The sequence below is a fragment of the Homo sapiens genome, chromosome 6, assembly GCF_000001405.40.
Source record: "Homo sapiens chromosome 6, GRCh38.p14 Primary Assembly".
Classification (NCBI taxonomy): domain Eukaryota; kingdom Metazoa; phylum Chordata; class Mammalia; order Primates; family Hominidae; genus Homo; species Homo sapiens.
In genome coordinates, this window is record NC_000006.12 from 13,454,848 (window position 1) to 13,479,243 (window position 24,396).

Sequence of the window (24,396 nt, forward strand, 5' to 3'; positions counted from 1 at the left end):
CAAATGGACACCAGAGCAAGAGTTTCGTAGAGGGAGGGGAGGAATCTTCAGACCCCAGGATATTAGCATCACCTCCTGGCTGTCACTCACAGCAAATTTCTGGTTGTCTTGATATCAAAAACCTGAAAGACACTGTAAAGGCATTTGGATGAGATTTTCCACCATCTGATGCAGTTGCTTCCGCTAGAGTTTAGGGTTTCGTCATCTGAGGTCTGCTGATCTAAATCTCTCTGCACGTGTGCCTGACACACCAGGGCTCTACACACAAACACACACACCCACACACGCACACACACTGGCTCTTGTCCCTGTAAGAACATAGCCTCCTGAAACAGCCCCAAAGCCTGGCAGTGAGCAATACACCCAGAGAGGTGCGGGGTGGGTCAGGTTTCTGACCCAACCCGAACTGAGTTTTGTGCTTGGGGTTAGCTCTTTTAGAAGTCCCTATCACTAAATCACCTTGGTAATTCCAGATGCCCATCAGGGATTTTGTTTCCTGAGAGTGAAGCCAACTCTGGACTCACAGAAACTGTGGGGAATGGTCCCCAGCCGGGTGGCTACCACGAATGGGAAAGCCACCTTGTCATTGGTTTGAATTGAATTATAAAAACACCTGGGATGCGAACACAGGTTATTCTAAAGAGAAAATCCTATGATATTCACCAAGGGTTGACAGTTTGACAGAGGGATGCCTAAAACTGCAGGCAAAGGAGTAAACATTAAGCCAAAACGGTAGCCCACCAGACGCCCTGCTACTGCCTGTCAGCAGCACCCCACATGGGCCAACTTTCTGTGTGAAACAAGGAAGCCCATTCAGAAGAGAAATAAATGTTTCAGCCAAATTAAGCACAGACACCCACACAAAGAGCTCTATTAGATCATGACAGGCACAGAAGGTCACCTTGCCCCATGACTTGCCTGCACTTAGGCACTGGAACACCCACCTACTGGAACTCTGCTAACAGGGAGGGGGACTCATTACCCGGAGCATCCTCAACTCCCAGTCGGTCACAGTTTAACACTGGCCTCGTCAGCCCTCTTGGTACAGCATTGTCCAATAGACAGGATGGGAGTTTACTAGAGGCATACCTCTGTCTTGACTGCTGTTTATTCAGACAAGATTGCGGGGCATGATTTTGCTACAGCAGGCCTGACAGGCTGGGGGCTCTCTCCTCATTTGGCTAAGTTCCATCATCCCAAGAAGGACATGGGTCTCAGAGGTGGGTTTTAAAGTGCAACAGCCCTACCTTGAAGCAAGATCTCAGAGGGTTGAAGGGAAATGAGGCTTCTAAGAGACTCCTTTAGCTTTTTAAAGTTTTTATCTTTTATTTTTTGAGACAGGGTCTGGCTCTGTCACCCTCTCTCATGCCAGGCTGGAGTGCAATGGCATGATCTTGGCTTACTGCAGTGTCCACCTCCTGGGCTCAAGTGATCTTCCCATCTCAGCCTCCTGAGTAGCTGGGACTACAGGCATCCACCACCACGCCCGGCTGACTTTTGTATTTTTTGCAGAGACGGGGTTTTGCCATGTTGCCCAGGCTGGTCTCAAACTCCTGAGTTCAAGTGATCCACCCGCCTCGACTTCCCAAAGTGCTGGGATTACAGGTGTGAGCCACCACACTTGGCCTCCTTTAGCTTTTAAAAATTTCTCATGAATATTGTCATGACTACAGGTGCAAGCTTATTCCACTTTCTTTTGCCCATTAAATTCAGGTTAATTTTTGAACTACTCATCACGGTCACCTCTAATCCTTTCTAGACTAAAGCAAGAATCTAAATAAATATATAGACAGATTAGACTGCTCTCTTACTGCAGGTGATTAAACCTGAACAGATGATAGGTCCTGACATACAGCCTCCTAGGGCTGCACCATATAGAGTGGGCGGCCTGCACGCTGCTCGTCTTGGCCCCGCACAGATCTGTCTTGGGAGCCAGGAGGTCTGAGCCTCCTGGGAATGAAAACCTTCCTATTCAGACAATCACAGGGACATTACTGAGTAGAACAGAAAGTTCACGTGAGCTTTTCATATAAGAACAAGAGACCTCCTACAGACTGTGGTGCCCTGCAGGAGGCTTTGAGCTAAGCCACTTCACAACTCGGGGGCACCTGAGCAAAGAAGTCAGGGACAGTTTCAGAGCATTCAGGTGATTTCAGTGGCCCACCTGGGAAAATCAAAGATGGGGCTTTTCTCTCATAAACAGGAAGCAAATGGGCAATGCTGCCCACAGCCCACAGCTAGCAGAGCAGGTCCACATCTGCCCAACACGGAAAGTGAAAACAGACTGCAAAAGGAGCTTAACCTTCCCAGAAAACAATCCCACCTGTGGATCCTGAGTCAGACCTTGCCAGAAGCAAATGGGCACCTGCCAGGAATTTGAGAGGTGACCTGGACTTTCTGAAATTTTCCAGAGTCTAAAATGGAGGGATGGTGTCTAGAAAGTTCTACAATATCCCAAACTGTGCCCTCTAGATAACAGGCACTCAATAAACATTTGGGGATGATGAGAAATCAGCCTGCCATAAGCAGAGAGCCAATCAAGAAACTTGGCTCACACAGCACCAGGAGCACCCAATATTCCGGGGCAGGACCCAGAGTCTCCCTCTTACCCCCAACCCAGGGTCCTCCTGAAGTGGTCCTCAGATACACTTTGAGAGACACTGATCCCGACATGTCACACACCCAGGGATGATGGAGCTGCGACTAGAACGTGGTCGGATAATGCCCCACTCAGTGCTGCTTCTCTTGTGCCAGAGCATGACTGATTATTGATAGAGACCGGGTATTTCCCTCTAAGTGCCAACAACCATCTATAACAAAGCTCTGCAGTTGGATGTGATTCAGAGTAAGCAAGTCATCCTTAACGCAGTTCTAAACTAGACTCTATGACACATGTTCTTTGAAAGTGGCTGCCGGCCTGTTCTTACAAGAAAAATGAACTTGGGGGCTTCCACTGGCTTGGCTCAGTGTGCTCTTCATCATTCGCTTGACCCGTTCCAGCGGCAGCCTGCAGCTGAAATCAAGAAGCATTTTCTATCCAGCCAACAGCACAGGTCCCAGGGCGATGCCTGGACCTCTGCCTGGAGGCAGTGGCTCAAAAGGATTATTTCATTCCTTCTCATCAACCCAGAAGTCTCACCTCATCCAAAAGCTCATGTTTGAACTAATGACAATTAAAATGCAAAAGTACTGTTTCCTAGTCCCTTTGCCCTGTTTTCCTCATCCATAATTTTAAACCCTCTTTGAATTATACAATTTTTGTTGTTGTTGTTGTTGTTGTTGTTGTTTGAGATGGAGTCTAGCTCTGTTGCCCAGGCTGGAGTGCAGTGGTGCAATCTCAGCTAACTGCAACCTCTGCCTCCTCGGTTCAAGTGATTCTCCTGCCCCAGCCTCCCGAGTAGCTGGGATTAAAGGCACCTGCCACCATGCCCAGCTAATTTTTGTATTTTTAGTAGAGACACGGTTTCACCATGTTGGCCAGGCTTGTCTTGAACTCCTGACCTTGTGATCCGCCCCCGCTTGGCCTCCCAAAGTGCTGGGATTAAAAGCACAAGCCCCCACGTCCAGCCTGTATTATACAATATTTTATATACTATTTCCAAACCCCTTTGAAATGAAGATGTAATCAATAATGCTCTCCACTGAACTCATCAGGTGATCTCGCATGGTGGAGGAGGCACACTGACCTTGATTTCAGTCCCAGAGCCCTTCCTGTACTATCTGTGTGACCTTCAACAAGTGACCTAAACTCTCTAAGCCCCATTTTCCTCTTCTACAAAATGGTACTAATACCTGCATTATAGGGTTGTTGGGACCTTAGAGGGACAAAAATATGCTGATATGAAAGTGCTTTGTGCAGGTGGTATTGTCACTAAGGCAGCCAGCAAAAAGACTCCATTTCCCCTTGAGCAAAAAAAAAAAAAAAAAAAAAAAAAAAAAGTGAGAGGGGGCTGAAGAGCATTTGGGGCATGATTTCTTGTAAGAAGTGATGATGGAATAGTGAGAAGAGAAGCCTAAAGAACAGCCAGAATGGTAACTGATAGATAATGCCTGTGTTTGTTTATCAAAGGCAGGTGGACAGCAAGAAGAAAGGCACATGCAGAAAGGATCCAGAGATTTTGTCCTATCTTGCTGTGGTTTGAATGTTTGTGTGCCCTCCAAAATATATGAATTGGAAACTTAATCCCCAATGCAAAAGTGTTGGGAGGTGAGGTCTAACGGTAGGTGCCAGGGCCACAAGGGCTCTGCTCTGATGAGTGGGTTAATGCTGCTATCAAAAGAGCTTGCAGTGGTACTGGCATCAAAATAGACACATAGACCAATGGAACAGAATAGAGATCTCAGAAATAAGACCACACATTTCCAACCATCTAATCTTCGACAAACCTGACAAAAACAAGCAATGGGGAAAGGATTCCCTATTTTATAAATGGTGCTGGGAAAACTGGCTAGCCATATGCAGAAAACTGAAACTGGACCCCTTCCTTACACCTTATACAAAAATTAACTCAAGATGGATTAAAGACTTAAATATAAAATCCAAAACCATAAAAACCCTAGAAGAAAATCTAAGCAATACCATTAAGGATATAGGCATGGGCAAAGATTTTATGATGAAACTGCCAAAAGCAATTGCAACAAAAGCAAAAATTGACAAATGGGATCTAATTAAACTAAAGAGCTTCTACACAGCAAAAGAAACTATCATCAGAGCAAACAGACAACCTACAGAATGGGAAAAAATTTTTGCAATCTACCCATCTGACAAAGGTTTAATATCCAGGACCTACAAGGAACTTAAATTTATAAGAAAAAAACAACCCCATCAAAAAGTAGGCAAAGGACATAAACAGACACTTCTCAAAAGAGGACATTTATGCAGCCAACAAACATATGAAAAAAAGCTCAACATCACTGATCGTTAGAGAAATGCAAATCAAAACCACAATGAGATACCATCTCATGCCAGTCAGAATGGTGATTATTAAAAAGTCAAGAGGCTCATTACAGGCATGGTGGCTCACACCTGTAATCCCAGCACTTTGGGAGGCTGAGGTGGGCAGATCACCTGAAGTCAGGAGTTCAAGATCAGCCTGGCCAACATGGTGAAACCCCATCTCTACTAAAAATATAAAAATTAACTGGGCATGGTGTTGTGTGCCTGTAATCCCAGCTACTGGGGAGGCTGAGGCAGGAGAATCACTTGAACTCAGGAGGCGGAGGTTACAGTGAGCCGAGATCGCGCCACTGCACTCCAGCTTGGGAGACAATGTGAGACTTCATCTCAAAAAATAAAAATAAAAAGTCAAGAAATAACAGATGCCGGCAAGGCTGTGGAGAAATAGGAACACTTTTACACTGTTGATGGGAATGTAAATTAGCTCAACCATTGTGGAAGACACTGTGGTGATTCCTCAAGAATCTAGAGCCAGAAATACCATTTGGCCCAGCAATCCCATTACTAGGTATATACTCAAAGGAATATAAATCATTGTTATAAAGATACATGCATGCATATGTTTACTGCAACACTATTCACAATAGCAAAGACACGGAATCAACCCAAATCCCCATCAATGATAGACTGGATAAAGAAAATGTGGTACATATACACCATGGAATACTATGCAGCCATAAAAAGGATCAAGATCATGTCCTTTGCAGAAACATGGATGGAGCTGGAAGCCATCATTCTCAGCAAACTTCTGTTCCTGTGAACAGAAAAGCAAACACTACATGTTCTAACTTATAAGTGGGAGCTGAATAATGAGAACACATGGACACAGGGAGGGGAACAACACACACCGGGGCCTGTTGGGGGTGTGGGGAGAGGGAGTGTATCAGGATAAATATCTAATGCATGCAAGATAAATATCTAATGCATATTAATACCTAGGTGACGGGTTGATAGGTACAGCAAACCACCATGGCACACATTCACCTATGTAACAAATCTGCATGTCCTGCATACGTATTCCAGAACTTAAAATAAAATAACATTTTTTTAAAAAGGGTTTGCAGGAGTAAGTCTACTCTCTTCTGCCCTTCCACCATGTGAGGACACAGAGTTTGCCAATTTTTGCCCTATTCTGCCAGGTGAGGACACCTCAAGAAGGCCCTCAGCAGACACCAGATGCTGGCACCTTGGTCCTGGACTCCAGTCTTCCAGAACTGTGAAAAATACATTTCTGTTTGCTATCAATTATCTGGCCTGTGCTCTTCTGTTACAGCAGCACAAGACTGTCTAAGATGTATCTTTGTCTATTGGCATGGGTTATGAGTGTGTGTACTGTCTACTTTTAACCTTCCACACTGACTCCCTAGAAGCCCAGAATCCACCTCACCATGTTTGCAGTCTCCTTCACAGCCCTTGGTGGGGTATCTTGTGCATGGTGGGTCCTCAGTAAGTGTGCTGCTCTCTTGATCAGGAGCAGCCCTCGGCCCTCTTTGTAGTGTCATTGAGCCAGAGCTGCTAGGGAGAAGGAGGGACACTGAGTTTGAAGGGGAAGGGAGGCATCCAGCCTTTACAGGCCCAGCCCCACACAGACCCTTGCTCCAATGCCATCTGAAACATGCTGGGGCTCCCAAGTCAACTACCACAGCTGGGATTCCTCCAGTGCAGACTTGTCACCATCACCATGGCCTCAGTTGGCTGAGCCCAAGCTGCCGGCCCCCGCTTGTTTTTACATCCACTGTCAGCTCATACCTTCCACCCTCCGCAGCAGGGTGGCACCACTCTGCCCCCACATTGCCCGGTCACCTCTGTGGCTGTCTGCTGTCAGCTGCATCTGTGAGTGGTGTGCTGGTGTTTTTCCCTTAAGCTGGTGTGTACCAGGGTTCACTCTCTCCCTCACATGAACTCCTTGCCTCTGACTTCAGAGAGAAAGGAGGCTCTTTCTCCATCATCCCACCTCACCCCAGGCTCAGCTCTTTCCAGAAAACACACGAGCCAGGCTCAGCCTCTACCAAGAGAGCTGGATTGTGGAGGACCAGGGTTCCCACCTCTCAGAGTGATGGGCACCAAGAACGCCACTTGCACCCTGTGTACCAAGCATGGTGCAATGAGTCACCAATGCCCTGGGGCAGAGCAGGCCACCTCCAGCTGGTCAGGCCTCAAGTTGAGAGGCAGCAGAGTAGCGCAACAGCACAAATGCTGGGAGTCAAGCTCTGACACCACCAGCTCCTAGTTGTGTAACGCTGGGCAAGGTCCTTAACCTCTCGGTTTCTCCATGTGCAAGTGAAGAGTCACTTCCTCAGACTGTAGTGGTAAGAATTAAGTGAGATGCTTGGCACATGGCAAATACCATGGGGTTTGCATTTATGTCGCGGGTGAGGAAGGATCTGATATAGTGTGTCTTCAAAAGTATTGCACTATTTTTTAAAATGCCCCTCATTATCTCTATACAGAGAGAATAAGAAGCAAACAAGGACCTCGCAACCTTGGACCGCTTCATTCTAATCAGGGAATGGATATTTTTGTTCCCAATTTGTGAATGTCATAAATTAGGGTTCTTCCTAGGATTTCTGCCCCTATTTGTACCCCACCCATCAGAGCCACAAGGAATTGTCAGAACGTCTCAGATCACTTCTGGGCTCAGCACAAATCAATGGGCTGTGTGAGCCTCACACCCAATTCATCTTCAGTCCGGTCAACTGTGAGCACCTGGGAGAAGGAAGTGCTTTCTGAGAAGTCAAATAAGCCAAGTGATACAGTCTGCCAAACCCACCTCCTCTGTCAAGGTTGACTATCATTACTTTTCTTCTTGCTGACAGTGAGGAGGAAATCACCCCTCCCCCATCATTTCCTGGGCCCCTTAATGTTCCCAGCAGGGTCCTGAGGTCAGTGAAATCATAGGTCTTTTCTAGTTCCAGCTGCTGGAATTTAAACAAATCCTATCCGCCAAACCTCCAACAGAATTACTGGCTTTACAAACAACACACAACAAAAACAAACTAAACCCAACCCGATGGTTAACCTATGCACCAAACTGCCACTGTCATCTCCGTTCGTAACATTCTGCCTCTCGGCTGAGAGAGTTCTTATCCTTGAGAAGAAAGCAACAGCGAGATAAAAGTGAAGCATCTCCTGTTCAGGTTGCAAATGCCATCCCAGAGCTCAGCAAGTCAGCGAAGATGGGCTGCTAAGATTTCACGAGGCAGAGAGCAGCTCTCTTTTCAAACTGTCAAGAAATACAGGTGAGCAATTAAGCAACTGAAAGGGAAGAAGGACCCAGCTTCTTAAAGAGCATTTAAAAATGCAAAGCACATTATCTGTGACACCGCCCAGGGTACTTAATTAACTCCATGCCCAGCTGAAAGCCCAAAGCCTGGCTTTCCAGACCACCGGAATGCAGAAGGGTGGGGCTGGCAGCCCCTGGGGAGATGACTGAGTCTGGCCTCCCAGTTTACAGATGCTGCACTTGGAAAAAGGGGTCTCACTGCCAATTAGCGAGTTAGGGGCAGGCACAGGGCAGCAACCCAGATCTGTGCTGTCCATCACAGGAGCCACAAATTAATTAAAATGAAAGACAATTTAAAATCCAGCTCCTCATTCACACTGGCCTCAGTTCATATGCTCAGTAGCCATACGGGGCCAGTGGCTACCATGTTGGACAGCGCAAAACAGAATATTTTCATGGTCTTGGAAACGTCTATGGACAGGACTGCTCCAGATCACAAGCTCTTTCCACGTCACCGGGGTGTGGGTCTTTTCTTTAACCCACAGTTATCCGTCCATTAAGCATGGTGAAATCAGTTCAGTGGGTCACAGCCAGCTTTTCCTCTTCTTGTTAATGAAATGAAAGAAAGAAAATACGATAGCATTTCACGTGCCAATGAAACAAGGGTAAGCATCATGTCATAAACCTTATGTTTATTTTTATTTATATTCATACATACATACGTAGGTTATCTGTAAATTTTTTAACACTGATACAGTATATATATGCTATATAGGTACACTATATACACTAATTATGATCCAGTACATAAATACAAAGATAAATATATATCTATCCAGCAGGGTCTTGAGGTCAGTGAAATCATGGGTCTTTTCTAGTTCCATCTGCTGGAATTTAAACAAATCCTACCTGCCAAACCTCAAACTTAATCACTGGCTTTACAAACAACATACAACAAAAAACAAACCATATATACGTATATACCGGATCATAATATAAAATTTGTTCTCCCTGTAAGTCAGGGTCAGAAAAAGTTACTCTGCTGGCCTGCAGATGTTTGGGTGATTTACCCCCACTCATTTTCCCCTTTCCCAAATGACTCAGATCACGAGAGAGTGAGGCAAAGTGTCTGCTCCACAGTGCCACACATGGGTTTTCCTGCAGACCTGATTTTCCATGCACTCTTCCCTGTAAACCCATTTCCTCTGGACACACAGCCAGGCAAGTGGAAGGCTCCAGACGTTCATCTGGGTTCCAGTGCCCCCAGCACAAGTAAGGGCAGAAGGCAGTGGGCAGGGAGACCACAGCTGAGCCAGCATCCATGCTACGGGTTGTGAAGTCCTGCCCTTCTATCCTTACCACAGAACGAAGACTTGTTAGAATGTCAACAGTGTCCAGAAATCATTCTTGCTCCCTAGGACCACAAGCTCCTCCCTGTCCAGCTATAGTTCTATAGTTCTTAGAGGTCAGAAGAAACTGAAATACTCTTTCCCTCATTGTGATGGTTAATTTCAATATATCAACTTGGCTAAGCCACAACAGCCAGATATTGGGTGACACACTTTTCCGGATGCTCCTGTGAAAGTATTTTTTAAATGAGATTAACATTTATATCAGTAGATACTAAGTAAAGCAGACACCCTGTATAATGTGCTGGGCCTCATCCAATCAGTTGAAGGCTTTACAAGAAACAAACCGATTTCTTCTGAAGAGGAGGAATTCCGCCAGCAGATTGCTTTGGACTTGAACTGCAACATTAACTTTTCTTTAGGTCTCTAGCCCACTGGCCAGGTCTACCCTGCAGGGCTTCCCTGCACCCTCTCTTCCTCTTTCCGTGTGTGTGTGTGTGTGTGTGTGTGTGTGTGTGTGTGTGTGTGTGTATCCTTTTGGTTCTGTTTCTCTGAAGAAACAGAAGTTTCCTTGACTACTACCTTCCTCGTCATTCAAGGCTCTCTGAAATGCTACCTCCTCTGTGCAGCCACACCTGATTTCCTCTGCCAAATATAATTGCTTCTTCTTCTGTGCTCATTCTCATAGTATATTTCTTGTGCCACATTTTTGCAAACAATTACTAAGCTTTGTACTATCATTAATTGATCATCTAAAGCAGGGGTGTCCAATCTTTTGGCTTCCCTGGGCCACATTGGAAGAATTGTCTTGGGCCACATACAAAATACAACAATAGCTGATGAGCTAAAAAAAAATGCAAAAAATTTTCATAATGTTTTAAGAAAGTTTATGAATGTGTGTTGGGCTGCATTCAGAGCTATCCTGGGCCACATGCATCCCACAGGCAGGGGTTGGACAAGCTTGATCTAAAGCTTAGATTCTAAATCTTGTTGCTCAAAGCTTGGTCCATGAACCAGCAGCATCAGCATGCCCTGGAAGCTTGCTAGACATGCAGAATCTCAGGCTCCACCCCAGACCTACAGAATCAGAATCTGCATTTTAACAGATGCCTAGGTGATTCACACGCACATTAAAATTTAAGCAGCACTGCTGTAAACAAGTGCTTCTTAACATTGAGGAGCTTTAAAAAACATGTATACCTAGTTCCTACCCTCAGAGACGCTGATGTAACCGGTCTGGGGTGCGGCCTGGGCTTCAGGATGTTTGACACCTTCCCAGGTGTTCCTAACTCATAGTCAAGCCTGAGAACCACCGTAACAAACCCCTTGTCTTAGAAGGAGAATTGAGCCCAGTGAAGCTGAGGGACCCCTGTTAAGGTCATAAAGTGAGTTAGTATCAGGAATGAGAAACCTACCAAGGTTTCCTGTCTCCCTAAAAATGTTTTAAGGAAAGAGGAAAAAGATCCATGTGCACTATCAGCACATTTATAATGAAACCTGGGTCATCCAACACCCAGCTGACACAGGAAACTGTCATCATACCAAATATCTCCTCTGTAGGGAGGAACCAGCAGGATTCTCTAGAAATAAAAGAAATGACTCAGCCTAGGTTGGATCTTAGGAACACTTCTCATTTAAAATGACTGTCAAACACCAAATTTGACAAATTTACATCAAGAGTAAAGTTACTGCTAGGGCAGATGGGTGCCACCTCTGATCTCGGAGGACCCAAAAATGTCCCATGTGGATACAGGCAAGTCTCCACTGGCTCCTTCATTCTCTGCTAATCCTGGGATGCTTTGGTTATGTCACTTCTTTGGAAGGTACAAGATGATGGTATAGTGCCTTCTCTTTATTGCCATATGGCATGGAGTTTTGATCTGAGTTAGAAGATAATAGACAGAAAAGATGAGAGAAGTAAAGTAAACAGATTTCTTTTCCTTTCAAGACCCTCTCTGGGTTTTACATTTATACTGGCCTGGTGAGGTCCACTAATTCTTCCATCAGGGTTATGACCAGTAACAACAGGCTTTCCACCCACACAGATTACTAATGTCACATCCTCTACCTTTGAAGAAGGGTAACTACATGCCGAGGGAGCCTGTCAGTGGCAGGCACCCACATAAAAAGTGGCTGTACCCGCCAGTGACTCAAGTGTGACAGGGTGACATTCTCAATCACCTCCCTCCCTGTGGCCTCCTGTGAACTGTCCATGATACAATTTCTGACCTGCAGTTGCTTGGGATGGATAATATCCCCTTGATCTGCTGCTGATGGCACAGTACTTCTTCTTTGGCAAAACTACATCTTTCCTTGGTGCAGTGGACCACAACCTGCTTCACGAGGCATCTGCAGAAGGAGCTAACCCCAAACGCCCACTGTGCTGATAAATTTATGCTAGAAAATTATACCCAACCCCACTGCTTTGCTAGCTTGACAGTTGGTATTAGCAGTTATTCATGCAGATGTGTTCTCAGCAGTGCCATTAAAGAGGGGAAAAAAACAAGGCATGACACATTGGGCAGATGTGCACACACACCCATGGGCACACACATACACATATGCACACATACACACACGTATACATACACACACACTACTGGCAAGCAGCCGTCCCACTAACCAACAATGAGCCATGCTACTTTGCCCTGGAATACATCTCCTCCCTTACAGATAAAAGAAAGAATGCTTTCTGGTATAAAGGACAGCTGTGTATATTTGTGTAACTGATTTCAAAAAAAAAAAAGAAGCAATAGCAGAAGCCAAGTGAACCAACCATATGACAGCAGTCATAATAAAACAGCACATAAAAATATTTACCAAATTAAATAATTTGGCTAAGTCAATACCAAGCTTTTAAAGTGAGTTATTAGAATAAACATAAAAGGTGGGAGCTAAAAGGAACTCTTAAAAATTGACTCTGGTGCCTGTGTTATATAGGTAACGAAATGAAAGTCTAGCAGGGTGAAGTCACTTGCCCAAGGTCACACCGCTAATTAGTATGGTGTCAGGACAAGAACCGCCTGTCCAGCTCTCTGGCCAACACCCTTTTGGCTGCACACCACCACACACACAGCCCATAAAGAGATTCAAGCAGATGGTGATGAATTTTCTCAGGCCCAGGGTTCTAAAACTGCTAACCATTTATACCAACACAGGTTTGACTGAAAAGAAACCTGCCTGCAAAGAAAAGGGGAAATAAAAAATGGAAATGTTGCAATTGTACATTTTCTTTGGAAGGCTGAATGGCGCATTTTCTTTGGAAGGCTGAATGAAGCCAACAAGAGCTTCACTTCCCACCCTGGGGCAAATGCAGGAGGCAGAGAAAAATGATAGGACTGTTCCAGCTGTTTCTGACCTGTTTGGGTTTTGGGCACACAAGGTTAGAAATACAAATAAATTACCCTGCAGCCAAGAGTCTATGGTTTCTCCCCAAATTCAGAGTCATGCCCAATTACTCTCCTAAACAACGGGAGAGTCCCTAGACCTTTATTCAACCACTTCCACTTCCTAGAAGACTGCCTTTTTCCTTTGGCCAAGGCTAAACTCATTTTTGCCCTGTGAAAAACAAGTACCTGCAGCTGGGAACAGCCAGTCCAGAGCCAAAGGATCACAGAATATAAGAACTGGAGAGTCACCCCAACCAAACCATTTTTTCCCATCTTATTGTCTCTTTCTTTTGAAAAATATATTTTTTCATTATGATATTTTTTTAAAACAAGAAATTTAGAGAAGAAAAAAATTTATAATCCCATTATTTGATAACAAGCATCATTAGGATTTGGGCTCCTTACTAGACTTTAATTTTCTAGGTGTGTGTGCGTGTGTGTGATTTTAAACAAGGCTATCATCATAATATACAAATGCTTCTGTGTCCTTTTTCTTTACCTAAAATATAGGAAATTATCATAAGAAAATTTCCTATATTGCTAGTCTTCCTACACATAATTCTAATGGCTATTTAGTATTTTATCAATTATATTTATCATATTTACCTAACTGTTCTCCTACTGTGGAACATTTATGTTGTTTCCAGTGTTTCAGTAATCACAAATAAGGCTTCACTGAACACTATTGTGCATGTAGGTGTTTTCATTGTTGTTATTTTAGGTTATTTCCTTCAGAAACTTCCAAGAAGTCAACCGCCTCGTTTTCTTCATTGTTGGAAAAGCACAGTTCCCCAGTGATTAAACAACCTCATAAGGTAATAGGCACAACTCTGCAGAGACCTCGGTTTGGTCCTGACTTAGCTGTCAGTGATCAGCTGTGACAACCTGGATAAGCCACTCAGTTCCTCTGAGACTTGGTTTCCCCTGGGTGTTAGGAGAGAGGGAGCTTCCAGCCTGTCCTGGGTGTTCTGATTACCAGCAGTGTTCTCTTTCCACTATTCCCCACAGCCTCCCATCTGAGATATCAAGGCCCCCCTGACCAATCCCCCTTCCAGTTCTCTGCTTTTCACATCAGCTGCTTGGGAAAATGACTTAATCAAAGCCCATTATGGAACCAAATGTGTTTAAGCATATGGGAGCCAGGCAGATCAAGCCTATGGTGTGCAAAAGCCAGCAGCAGGATCAGCTCTTTCCTCCCCTATGGAGCCCTTGCTACTGCTGTCTGAATCCAGGTCATTCGTGGAATTCAACAGACCTTGCTTCTTCTCTGCAAGTGCTGGCCACAGGGCATTGTGACAATAATAAACACACATGGGCCTGCTCTTGGGGACTTCCCAGAACTCAGTTATGTAGGAGAGGGAGTTGGCCTGTGTCTCCTATTATGGCCCTCCAGAACAGTAAAGAGGCCACTGGTCACATCCCCTAAAGAATCCCTGTTGGTAACAGCACCACACTCAGCCTGGAGCACACCAGAACAGATGGAGGAATACATCACACTCGCCTTTTATATCTTATCCATACAAGAGTTTGCCATTTATTTTAGCCTCTTCAAAAATAAGTTATAATCAACAGAGAAGTGAAGATCATGAAATAACATTTTCTCAATTTTTTAACATCCTGTGGGATACATGCAGTCCCCAGGCTATTGTCTCCTCAGTTATGGAATTAGATGATGCAAGTTCCAGTTCAGTCACCATTTCCCCGTTTCTATACTTTGTCAATAAAAATGATATGGCCTTTGTTCATACAGACCATTGATACTGCAGCACATTATACTGGAAAACACATAAGCTTTGGAGTCAAGCAAACTTAAGTTGAATTCTGATTCCACTTGTTCTTAGCCATGTACACTTGCCAAAATACCATATTTCACATAATCTAAGACACTACTGCAAAGACCTACAGTTATCTTACTACCAAGAAAGAAAAGCCCTTTTAGACATATCTATATTTCAGATGTTCAAATGTGAAAATAATACATGTCACAGAATCAATGACACATGATATTTAACCTCTCTACAGTGAAATTTCTCACTTGTAAGATGGAGATGCTAAATGTCCACATTGGAGGTTGGCCATGAGACGTAAATGAGTAACACTCGTACTATGTCTCACACCAAATCTGGCACATGGTAAGTACTCCATAGAATGCTAGTTTCTCTTCTCTTTCCAAAAGTGATGAGTAGGTTCTGGATAGATGATGAGTTCTCTCAGAGCACATGCCATATCTTATATGCCTTTGACCTTTTCTAACTCCCCATGACTGAGAATATTTCCTTACACATTGTAGCCACTCAGTAAATGGGTGAGGAATACAGATGTTGAATTCGTTTGAAAAACCGATAAATACTGCAGTTGGAAAATCCTGTTGGTGAATGTAGCCAGTGATGTCCCACTGGCTTCCCCAGCACCTGCGCGCGATGAACGCATCTATCTGTAATCTTGACTGGGTCTGGGGACTGGAAAGAAGGGCAATTGCCGGCTCATGAAGCACATCCCTCCTGGAATCCCCCATGCCAGCAGGCTGTGGCTGGAGGCCCGCTGCATTCAGGCAAGAATGTGCAGCTAAATCTCAGTTCCACAGACAAATGCAGCATTGTGGTCCCCGTGGGCCTCCAGGGAAAGCCAGGCTGCCTCTGTGCCCTGGATGTGAACGGCTGTGCATATTAAGTTAGACAGGCTGCATCCCTAAGGGCTTGAAACCTGTCCCCTGGGACTCTCCAAGAGCAGCATCGTGGGGGGTAAACAAATGTCCCATGTGGGGGTGCTGGAGGGAGCAGAAGCTCAGCTGAACAGAACCACGTGGCATTTTTTTTTCCCCAGTATTTTTCTGTCTGCTGATTTTCTTCCTCTGATGTCCTGGTTCTGTTGGAAAGGGAGAAGAGACAGAGAAGAGGAACACATCTCATTTTCTACCACCCACTTTTGATTATTCATATTCATGTGGGAGATAAGAAGAGCCTGCCAGGGACACATTTAAATAACAAGTACTCTAAAATCATTACTTTGCCCTTGACTACAGTCAAGAGACATTCTGTGGGCAGCACACTGTAGTGTGTGTGCACTCACACTCTCACAAATGCACACTTACCTCTCCCTCCAAGCCCCCACAAGCTGGAACTTAGCAGTCCCAGTTCCCTAAAGATTGCTCACACAGATGGATGTGGCTTTCACAACATTAATGGGACTCGAAAGAAAAAAAAAGCAATAATAATTAGCAAAACAGTAAGTACGTATTAGTTGAGGTTTCATGCTTCAGTATTTATGTAGCCTCTCCCCTCGGCTGAAGGAAAGGACAAGGGAGTGGAGAGAGGAGGAATAAAGTCGGAAACCCCATTGCCCATGGAACTGCACAGCATGTTGGCAGTAGGGCAGAAAGCACCTTACTCTGAAGTCAAAATTCCTCCCCCTGGCCCAGGTCCTCAGGAGCTAGCTGCCAGGTGTTCTCGAAAGTTCTTGCAGGACAAAGAGGCCTGGCATATACTTCCTTCCCCTCACCACCTTCCTGGGCCATCTACTAAGACCCTTTGCTTCTTGGTGCTTTGAGGAGGGAAAATGTCTTTCTTACCTCCCCGAGAGGATGGCTGAGAGGGTTAAGGAAGATGCTACCCATGAGCAAAGGCAGAATTCCTGCCCTGGCATCACCCCACCCAGGTCCGTGCCATCTGCTACCTAAAGTCCTGTAATAAACCTGAGGGAAGGCGGGTGGAGCAGGGAGGGGCACTGTCATTTATCTCATTGCTCAGTCCCTATGTCTAATAAAGAATTTAGGAAACTTCCCACAGCACATCTTCTTCTCATTAATAATAGAGTCCTTACTAATAAATCCAGAAAGCAGCACCCAGACCTTGTTAAACCTCTACTAATTAGTATTGAGACACCCATAGCCCAAGGTGGAGACTATCAACACATTCCCAGGAGAAAATGAAACACACCCACAGGTTGGGGTTGCTCAAAAATCCATGTTTGGATCTCACATAAGTGACTGATTTACCCATTGCTATATCCATTAATGCTGTCCAGTAGAACTTTCTGCAATGATGGATATATTCTATGTTGCATGGTCCAATATGGTAGCTACCAGCCAGCCCCATGTGGCCTTTGAGTGCTTGAAATGTGGCTAGGACAACTGAGGAAACTGTATTAGTCTGTTTTCAAGCTGCTGATAAAGACATACCCAAGACTGGGAAGAAAAAGAGGTTTAATTGGACTTACAGTTCCATGTGGCTGGGGAGGCCTCGGAATCATGGGGGGAGGTGAAAAGCACTTCTTACATGGTGGCAGCAAGAGAAAATGAGGGAGACAGAAAAGTGGAAACCCCTGATAAACCCATCAGATCTCGTGAGACTTATTCACTATCACCAGAATAGCACAGGAAAGACCGGCCCCCATGATTCAGTTAACTCCCCCTGGGTCCCTCCCACAACACATGGGAATTCTGGGAGATACAATTCAAGTTGAGATTTTAGCGGGGACACAGCCAAACCACATCAAAACTGCATTTTTCATTTTATTTAGTTTTATGTAAATTTAAGCAGCCACATGTGGCTAATGGCTACCATACTGCATAGCACAGACCCAGAGAGCATCTGGTATGTAGCTGGCACTCAATAAATCTTTGTTCAAGGAAAATCATAAATGGACCGTAGTTCACCATAATAAGTTCTGATTAAGCAAGATTCTCATATTTATTGAGTCCTCATTTTAAACAAAGCCCTGTTTAGGTCAACAACCTTCTGAGATGGGTACTTTTATTATCCCCATTATACAGATAAAGAAACTGGGGCTTCAAAGAGTTAAGTGAGGAGCCCACACCCACATAGCACATGGCCAGCCAAGGATTCAACCCCGGGCAGTGCCCACACACCCATTTCTGTAGTGCCTCCAGCTTTCTGAAGTCTGATGGGACAGCCTCTTCAAACTGCCTTTTCCATTGACCAAAAAAAGCCTTCAGGAGCATCACTTTACTTTCACCAGAATGACATCAAATTAGCCAAGGAACTTTTCCTTTTGAAATAGAAAAAATGAAGATAGACAATTTTTGTCACATCTAGGGATCTTTTAAAAGCCTAGCCAGCGTAGTAACTTTGCAAGGCTCTGTTGTCTGACTTCTGGATCCCAAGTCAAGAGTTAACTATTCATTCCACCACTGTGGCCTCTTCCTCAAACCATCTCCCAAGATGGCAGACTACTCTGAGAGAGCCTCACAATCATCATTTCCATGAGCTCTCACTTCTGAATGCTGACAGGTGAGAAAGGGAGGAGAAAGGGAGGTGAGAAAGGGATTTGAAACACCAGTGACACAAATCCAGAGTTTGTAGCCCCACCCACCATGAAAGATGGGAGAGGCATGTCCACATGTCATATGCAAATGTCCTTCTCCAAGGAGATTATTGCATCCTTGCTCATCTAGTAAATTATTGCTGCAGCCAGCCCTGACCCTTGCACCATCAGGTCTCAACTGTATAACAAGAGAACAGGTGCTCCCACCACCATCGGATGTAAGCACCAAACCAGGGGCTGGGCACCCTTCAAGGCATCCTCTCAACAGCTGACTCTGTTTACCATAGCATGCCCCTGACTCCATCAGACACAGAGCTGTCTTGACAGCATTACTAGCTGAATCAACTTTTGCAGTTCTTCCCACGCCCTCTAAGGCGGCCATTTGGGCTCCTCTCAACAGGGTCCTTTCCAACACTCCAGCAAGCTGTTTGCCTTGACTGACCCCAGAGCTCTGTCATTTGTGGCTGTCACCATTTGAGATACGAAGGGAAAGAAAGATGCAAGTGACACTTACTGCTGATGAAGAAAAGTATTTGTAGAATTTCAGACATTCTTAAACCATTCTAACTTTGCTCTAGCAGGTCAACTGCAAGCCACACAGTTTATCTCGCAGAACCAGTGGTTCCTTGAGGAGGACTTTATATCATAGAGCCTCCCATGTCTTCCTTTTCAATTATTTAAATCCTACCCCCTCTTCTGGGCCCAGTTGAAGACCAACCCACCTTTTCCAAGAGGTCTTCTGGGACCCTTCCAGCTCTCAGGAATGCCCCTTTCCTCAGCTTTCAGGCAGCACCCACTCTCTGCAGTGCCACCTTCTCAGCAACCCACCAAAGAGGGGAAGTGCACCCGGGACGAGTGGGGCCCCACTCATTTTATCTCTGATGTCAAGCTCATGTTCCCTACTCAACAAAACAAATGTGCAGCAGTAAACTGGAAGCAATAATTCACCAGCTCTTAGAGGAAGCCCCTTCCGGGCCCCTTGTGCTGCAAGTGTCTCATTCAAACACACAAAACGTTTTATGAGGGGGATCCTGTTAACACATTTTTGCTGCCAGGCACGGTGGCTCTCGCCTGTAATCCCAGCACTTTGGGAGGCCAAGGCGGGTGGATCGCCTAAGGTCAGGAGTTTGAGACCAGCCTGACCAACATGGAGAAATCCTGTCTCTACTAAAAATACAAAATTAGCTGGGTGTGGTGGTGCATGCCTGTAATTCCAGCTACTGGGGAGGCTGAGGCAGGAGAATTGCTTGAACCTGGGAGGCAGAGGTTGCGGTGAGCTGAGATCGTGCCACTTCACTCTAGCCTGGGCAACAAGAGCAAAACTCCGTCTTGGGAAAAAATAAAATAAAATAAAAATAAAAATGCCATTTTTTTCCCCTTTGCCTTAGTGCCTTTTGTAGACTGGCACTGGGAAGCTTACCCAGGTGATCGACCCTTAATCCAATAATGATTTTTGAGGGATTACTCAACTGCCTCAAGCAAGCTCTTCCTGGCATTGTGAATATAACCAGTCACTCTGCACTTAGTCATGTATCTCATTGCATTGCTCCATGTTTGCCTATGCGCTCTTCTTTCAAGGACAAAGACCATGTCTTACTTTATAGGGCATTTCTCACCACAGCTAACATAGTGCTACAGGGATTCAAAAGGTATTTACTAACTAAAAATAAATGGAAAAAAAGAAACACTCTCCAGACACTGGGCAGAATAGGTGGTTAGAAAACCCTACTGGAAGACAATCTTCAACTTGGAAATGCCCCTGGCAGAGGGTTCAGTGGATTCTCACAGCCCTGGGCAATGCCAGAGCCCCAGGCATGAGCACCCCTCACCTGGTAGTCTTTCTCTTCTACTCCATGAACCATTTCAGTAAATACTTGGCAAAACTAATTTCTCTTGGGTTGGAGAATTCGTTCCGCTGTACTAGTTCCAAAATCAAAAATAAGAGGAAGTATATGAAACCAAAAACAAAAACTCTACGCCTTCCCCCAAGTGAAGTCTGCTACCTCAACAAAATAAGAAAATCACAAAACCAATGCTTACAAATCAATAAATGACAAACAACCCAATTTAAAAATGAGTATGAGATTTGAATAGTCATTTTATCAAAGAAAAATGTGACTGTCTAATAAACACATGAAAAGCTGTTCAACATCATTAATTATTATTAACAAAATGCAAACCAAAGTCCTAACAAGATACTTCTACATACCAACTATAATGGCTATGATCAAAAAGACTCACAAGGCTGGGCATGGTGGCTCATGCTTGTAATCCCAGCACTTTGGGAGGCTGAGGTGGGCGGATCACTTGAGATCAGGAGTTTGAGACCAGCCTGACCAACATGGTGAAAACCCATCTCTACTAAAAATACAAAAATTAGGCTGGGCGCGGTGGCTCACGCCTGTAATCCCAGCACTTTGGGAGGCCAAGGCAGGCAGATCACGAGGTCAGGAGTTCGAGACCAGCCTGACCAACATGGTGAAACCCCGTCTCTACTAAAAATACAAAAAAAAAAAAAAATCAGCCAGGTGTGGTGACGGATGCCTGTAATCTCAGCTACTCAGGAGGCTGAGGCAGGAGAATTGCTTGAACCCTGAAGGCGGCAGCTGGAGTAAGCCGAGATTACGCCATTGCACTCCAGCCTGGGTGACAGTGCAAGACTCCATCTCAAAATAATAATAATAATAATAATAATAATAATAATAATAATAATAATAATACAAAAATTAGCCAGGCATGGTGGCGCACACCCGTAATCCCAGCTACTTGGGAGGCTGAGGCAGGAGAATCACTTGAACCCAGAAGATGGAGGTTGCAGGGAGTTGAGATCATGCCACTGCACTCCAGCCTGGGCAATGGAGTGAGACTATCTCAAAAAAAAGACTGACAATACCAAGTGCTGGTGATGATATCAGAAAATTAGAACTCTCCTATGTTGCTAGTGGGAATGTAATATGATGCCACTGCTCTGGAAAACAGTTTGGTAGTTTCTTAAAAAGTTAAATATATACACACTATACAACTGAGCAATTTCAGTCCTAGGTATTTAACCAAGAGAAATGAAAACATGGCTCCACAAAAGACTTATATGCAAATGTTCACAGCAGCATTATTCACAATCACTTAACACTGGAAACAATACAAACATCCATCAGATGGTGAATGGATAAACAAAATGCGGTATATCCACACAATGGAGTATCACCCAGCAATAAAGATAAATGAACTTCTGAGCCGTGCAACAACATGGCTGAACATCAAAAACGTTATGCTAAGTGAAAGAACTCAAGCACAAATGATTACGTACTTCATGATTCCATTTATATGAAAGTTCTAGGAAAGGCAAACTATAGAGACAGAAAGTAGATTAGTAGTTACCTGGAGCCAGAAGTGGGAGTGAGGATTGACTGCAAATTGGCATGAGGAAATGTTTTAGTGTGTTGAAAATGTTCTAAATATATAAATTTACTAAAAATAATGGAATCACTTACAATGGGTGAATATTGTGAAATAAAAAGAATGAAGAATGTTATGGTATATATAGTTCAATAAAGTTATTTTTTTAAAAAGTAGTGTTAAAACTGCAAACCAACTTCATTGGAGCTTTACAATTGTGGAGTAATTTATAGTTTCAGTTTAAGGACATTAATCAAAGAAGCATCTTAATACTCTAAAGGCTATTAAAATTAGAGACTGGAAAATTTTTTTAAATCATAACATTTTAATGTAAAGTTATTTTTCCTGCACTTTTTAATTCTCCACAGTAGGATATCAACAATTCTCAAGGAAAGTCTAAACCCCAAGGCATCCCAGACTTGCCCAAACCCTAGAAGTCAAAGACCTGTAGACGGGTATAGAATTGGTCGGGGTGAAGTGTCACTGTGGCTCTCAGTGGTGAGTGTGACAGCCTCTTTACCAACAATCTCCTTAGCTCAAGTCTGAACCCAAAAGAACGCTGGCTTTCCAGGTCTCCTGCTTTGAGGACAAGTGCTCAGAGGCCTGCTGCTCTCCTAGGGAGCCCACACCCACCAGCGGAACTAACCAGAGCAGTTTCTCCACCGACGCGTCTTCCAGGTATTTCCTTGCTCAGCTTGCCTAGCCAGGTGGCCTTGATCCAGGCAAAATCTGTATTAGTCAGGGTTCACCAGAGAAACAGAACCAATAGGGGGTGTGTGTGTGTGTGTGTGTGTGTGTGTGTGTGTGTGTAGATGAGAGATTCGTTTTAAGGAATTGGCTCGCACAATTGTGGGGTTGGCAAGTCTAAAATGTGCAGGGCAGGCAGGCAGGCAGACAGGCAGGCTGGAGACCCATAGAAGAGTTGATGTTGCAGTTTCCAGTACAAAGGCAGTCTGGAGGCAGAAATCCTTCTCCCTCAATCTTTTCCTGACTCCTGGCTCCTTCAAGCTCCTAAGACAATACTTGAGCAGAAAGGGACTATGTCTCGTGGCACTCCTGTGACCTGCTGCACACACTACCCAGGAGGCTCTTGGTAAAGGTCTACAAACCTACCAAGACCACAGAACTCCATGCAGTTGGTCATGTTTATCTACTTTCCCATCACACTCTTCAAAATATATATGTCTTAAATTTAATAATAATTTAATAATAATAACTAGGTTGGTATTAATAGATGACCACATCTATTATTTCTTTCACTGTTTTGCTATGGTTATTATCAAAACAGTGAAATGCCAAATGTGTATTTCACAAAGTGGATAAAGAACCTACACAATCAGGCCAGGCATGGTGGCTCATGCCTGTAACCCCAACACTTTGGAAGACTGAGGCGGGTGGATCACCTGAGGCCAGGAATTCGAGACCAGCCTGGCCAACATGGCGACCCCATCTCTATCAAAAATACAAAAATTAGCCAGGCGTGGTCGCAAATGCCTGTAATCCCAGCTACTTGGGAGACTGAGGCACAACAATTGCTGGAACCTGGGAGGTGGAGGCTGTAGTGAGCTGAGATCATGCCACTGCACTCCAGCCTGGACAACAGAGTGAGAATCTATCTCAAAAAAAAAAAAAACAAAACAAAGAAACAAAAAAAACCTACACAATCAAGAAATGTCTACATTTGGTTTGTTGTTTGTTGTTTTTGTTTTGAGACAGAGTTTTTTTCATTTTGTTGCCCAGGCTGGAGTGCAATGGTGCAATCTTGGCTTACTGCAACCTCCACCTCCTGGGTTCAAGCGATTCTCCTGTCTCAGCCTCCCGAGTAGCTGGGATTACAGGTGCACAACACCACTCCCAGCTAATTTTTATATTTTTAGTAGAGACAGGATTTCAGCATGTTGGCCAGGCTGGTCTCGAACTCCTGACCTCAGGTGATCCACCACCTCGGACTCCCAAAGTGCTGGGATTACAGGCGTGGCCATCACACCCAGCCGAAATGTCCATATTTGTAATAACTTCCACCATCTAGATTCTTAGAATCAGCACTTTTCTTGGAGAGTGCAGCCCAGATCAGAATGACTGCTCTTAACAATCCCTCCACCCCTCCAGCAGGGTGGTCTCCGCAGCATTTGGTCATGTATCCCCCACACCGTGGGTAACCACAGGAAAGACTGAGCAGGGAGAAAGCATCTGGTACAAACAGAGACAGCTGGGTGCGGGGGCAGGGCTGCACCTTTCAGGTGGCTGAACTTGTCATGTTCATATTTGGGAGCTGCGTGTGGACAATCTTTCACCCACCACATGAACCTGTGAAGCAGAGGATGCTGGTGTAGAGAGGGGTGAATGAGGAAGCAGACACACAGAGAGAAGCAGAATAAAATTCAGAGGGTTTCTGGTTTCCAGGTATCTACTAAAGCCCTGCTGCAGCCCTGTTCCTGCGTCATGTGGGAAACCCCCCTAAGCACCCCCACTGCAAGGGATAGTAAATCTTCAGAGCAGCATGGTGAGCTCTTGGTAACCCCATCAGTACCTTTGAGTGATCACGTAGCTGTGAAGCACGTACTGGATTCACAGCAAATATGACACCTGAAGCTTGGCTTAGGTACCATCCCTTTACCAAAAAAAAAAAAAAGAAAAAATTTAAATATAGTCTCTGAGTCTTACAGGAGGGAATCATCTCTTCAAAAAATAGTTTTAAAAAATCTTCAAAAGCACCATTTGGAAGAGTCTAAAGAACTACTCACTTAAAAATTTTTAAAAATTTTAAAAAGAACTAACTGCATTAGGGCAAAGTAAAAA

At 44.5% G+C, this 24,396-nt stretch overlaps 1 protein-coding gene across 4 annotated transcripts in view, besides 5 other annotated features; it reads right to left on the reverse strand.

Annotated features, from left to right (window-relative positions):
* The window catches only part of GFOD1 (Gfo/Idh/MocA-like oxidoreductase domain containing 1), a 129,771-nt gene that overhangs the window by 97,018 nt on the left and 8,357 nt on the right, over positions 1-24,396 (reverse strand). Inside the window, exons 1-2 of one of the 4 annotated variants that reach the window (NR_038459.2) lie at positions 17,134-17,216; positions 14,421-15,783 (exon numbers count right to left, since the gene is read on the reverse strand). The exons of 2 other annotated variants lie outside the window; for them this stretch is intronic. Coding sequence is in view for 1 of the 2 variants with exons in the window: in NM_001242629.2 (NP_001229558.1) it covers positions 15,590-15,783 (194 nt within the window). In the remaining variant the exon portion in view is untranslated. Of the gene's footprint in view, positions 1-14,420; positions 15,784-17,133; positions 17,217-24,396 lie in introns of those variants that run through there. One more of the 4 variants, NM_001242629.2, reaches the window with a different exon arrangement.
* Positions 6,844-7,516: an enhancer, noted in NCBI's record as "H3K27ac-H3K4me1 hESC enhancer chr6:13461923-13462595 (GRCh37/hg19 assembly coordinates)". NCBI's record gives its function as "activates a minimal SCP1, AML or CMV promoter by ChIP-STARR-seq in primed H9 embryonic stem cells {active_cell/tissue: H9 hESC(primed)}" and the evidence as "EXISTENCE:reporter gene assay evidence [ECO:0000049][PMID:30033119]".
* Positions 7,592-8,244: an enhancer, noted in NCBI's record as "OCT4-NANOG-H3K4me1 hESC enhancer chr6:13462671-13463323 (GRCh37/hg19 assembly coordinates)". NCBI's record gives its function as "activates a minimal SCP1, AML or CMV promoter by ChIP-STARR-seq in primed H9 embryonic stem cells {active_cell/tissue: H9 hESC(primed)}" and the evidence as "EXISTENCE:reporter gene assay evidence [ECO:0000049][PMID:30033119]".
* Positions 8,245-8,896: an enhancer, noted in NCBI's record as "OCT4-NANOG-H3K4me1 hESC enhancer chr6:13463324-13463975 (GRCh37/hg19 assembly coordinates)". NCBI's record gives its function as "activates a minimal SCP1, AML or CMV promoter by ChIP-STARR-seq in naive and primed H9 embryonic stem cells {active_cell/tissue: H9 hESC(naive and primed)}" and the evidence as "EXISTENCE:reporter gene assay evidence [ECO:0000049][PMID:30033119]".
* Positions 11,089-12,288: an enhancer, noted in NCBI's record as "P300/CBP strongly-dependent group 1 enhancer chr6:13466168-13467367 (GRCh37/hg19 assembly coordinates)". NCBI's record gives its function as "activates an origin of replication core promoter dependent on BRD2, BRD4, P300/CBP, MED14 and CDK7 cofactors, with strong dependence on P300/CBP, by STARR-seq in HCT116 cells {active_cell/tissue: HCT116}" and the evidence as "EXISTENCE:reporter gene assay evidence [ECO:0000049][PMID:35650434]".
* Positions 17,070-17,364: an enhancer, noted in NCBI's record as "tiled region #12646; HepG2 Activating non-DNase unmatched - State 16:ElonW, and K562 Activating DNase matched - State 6:EnhF". NCBI's record gives its function as "activates a minimal TATA promoter and a strong SV40 promoter by Sharpr-MPRA in HepG2 and K562 cells {active_cell/tissue: HepG2 | K562}" and the evidence as "EXISTENCE:reporter gene assay evidence [ECO:0000049][PMID:27701403]".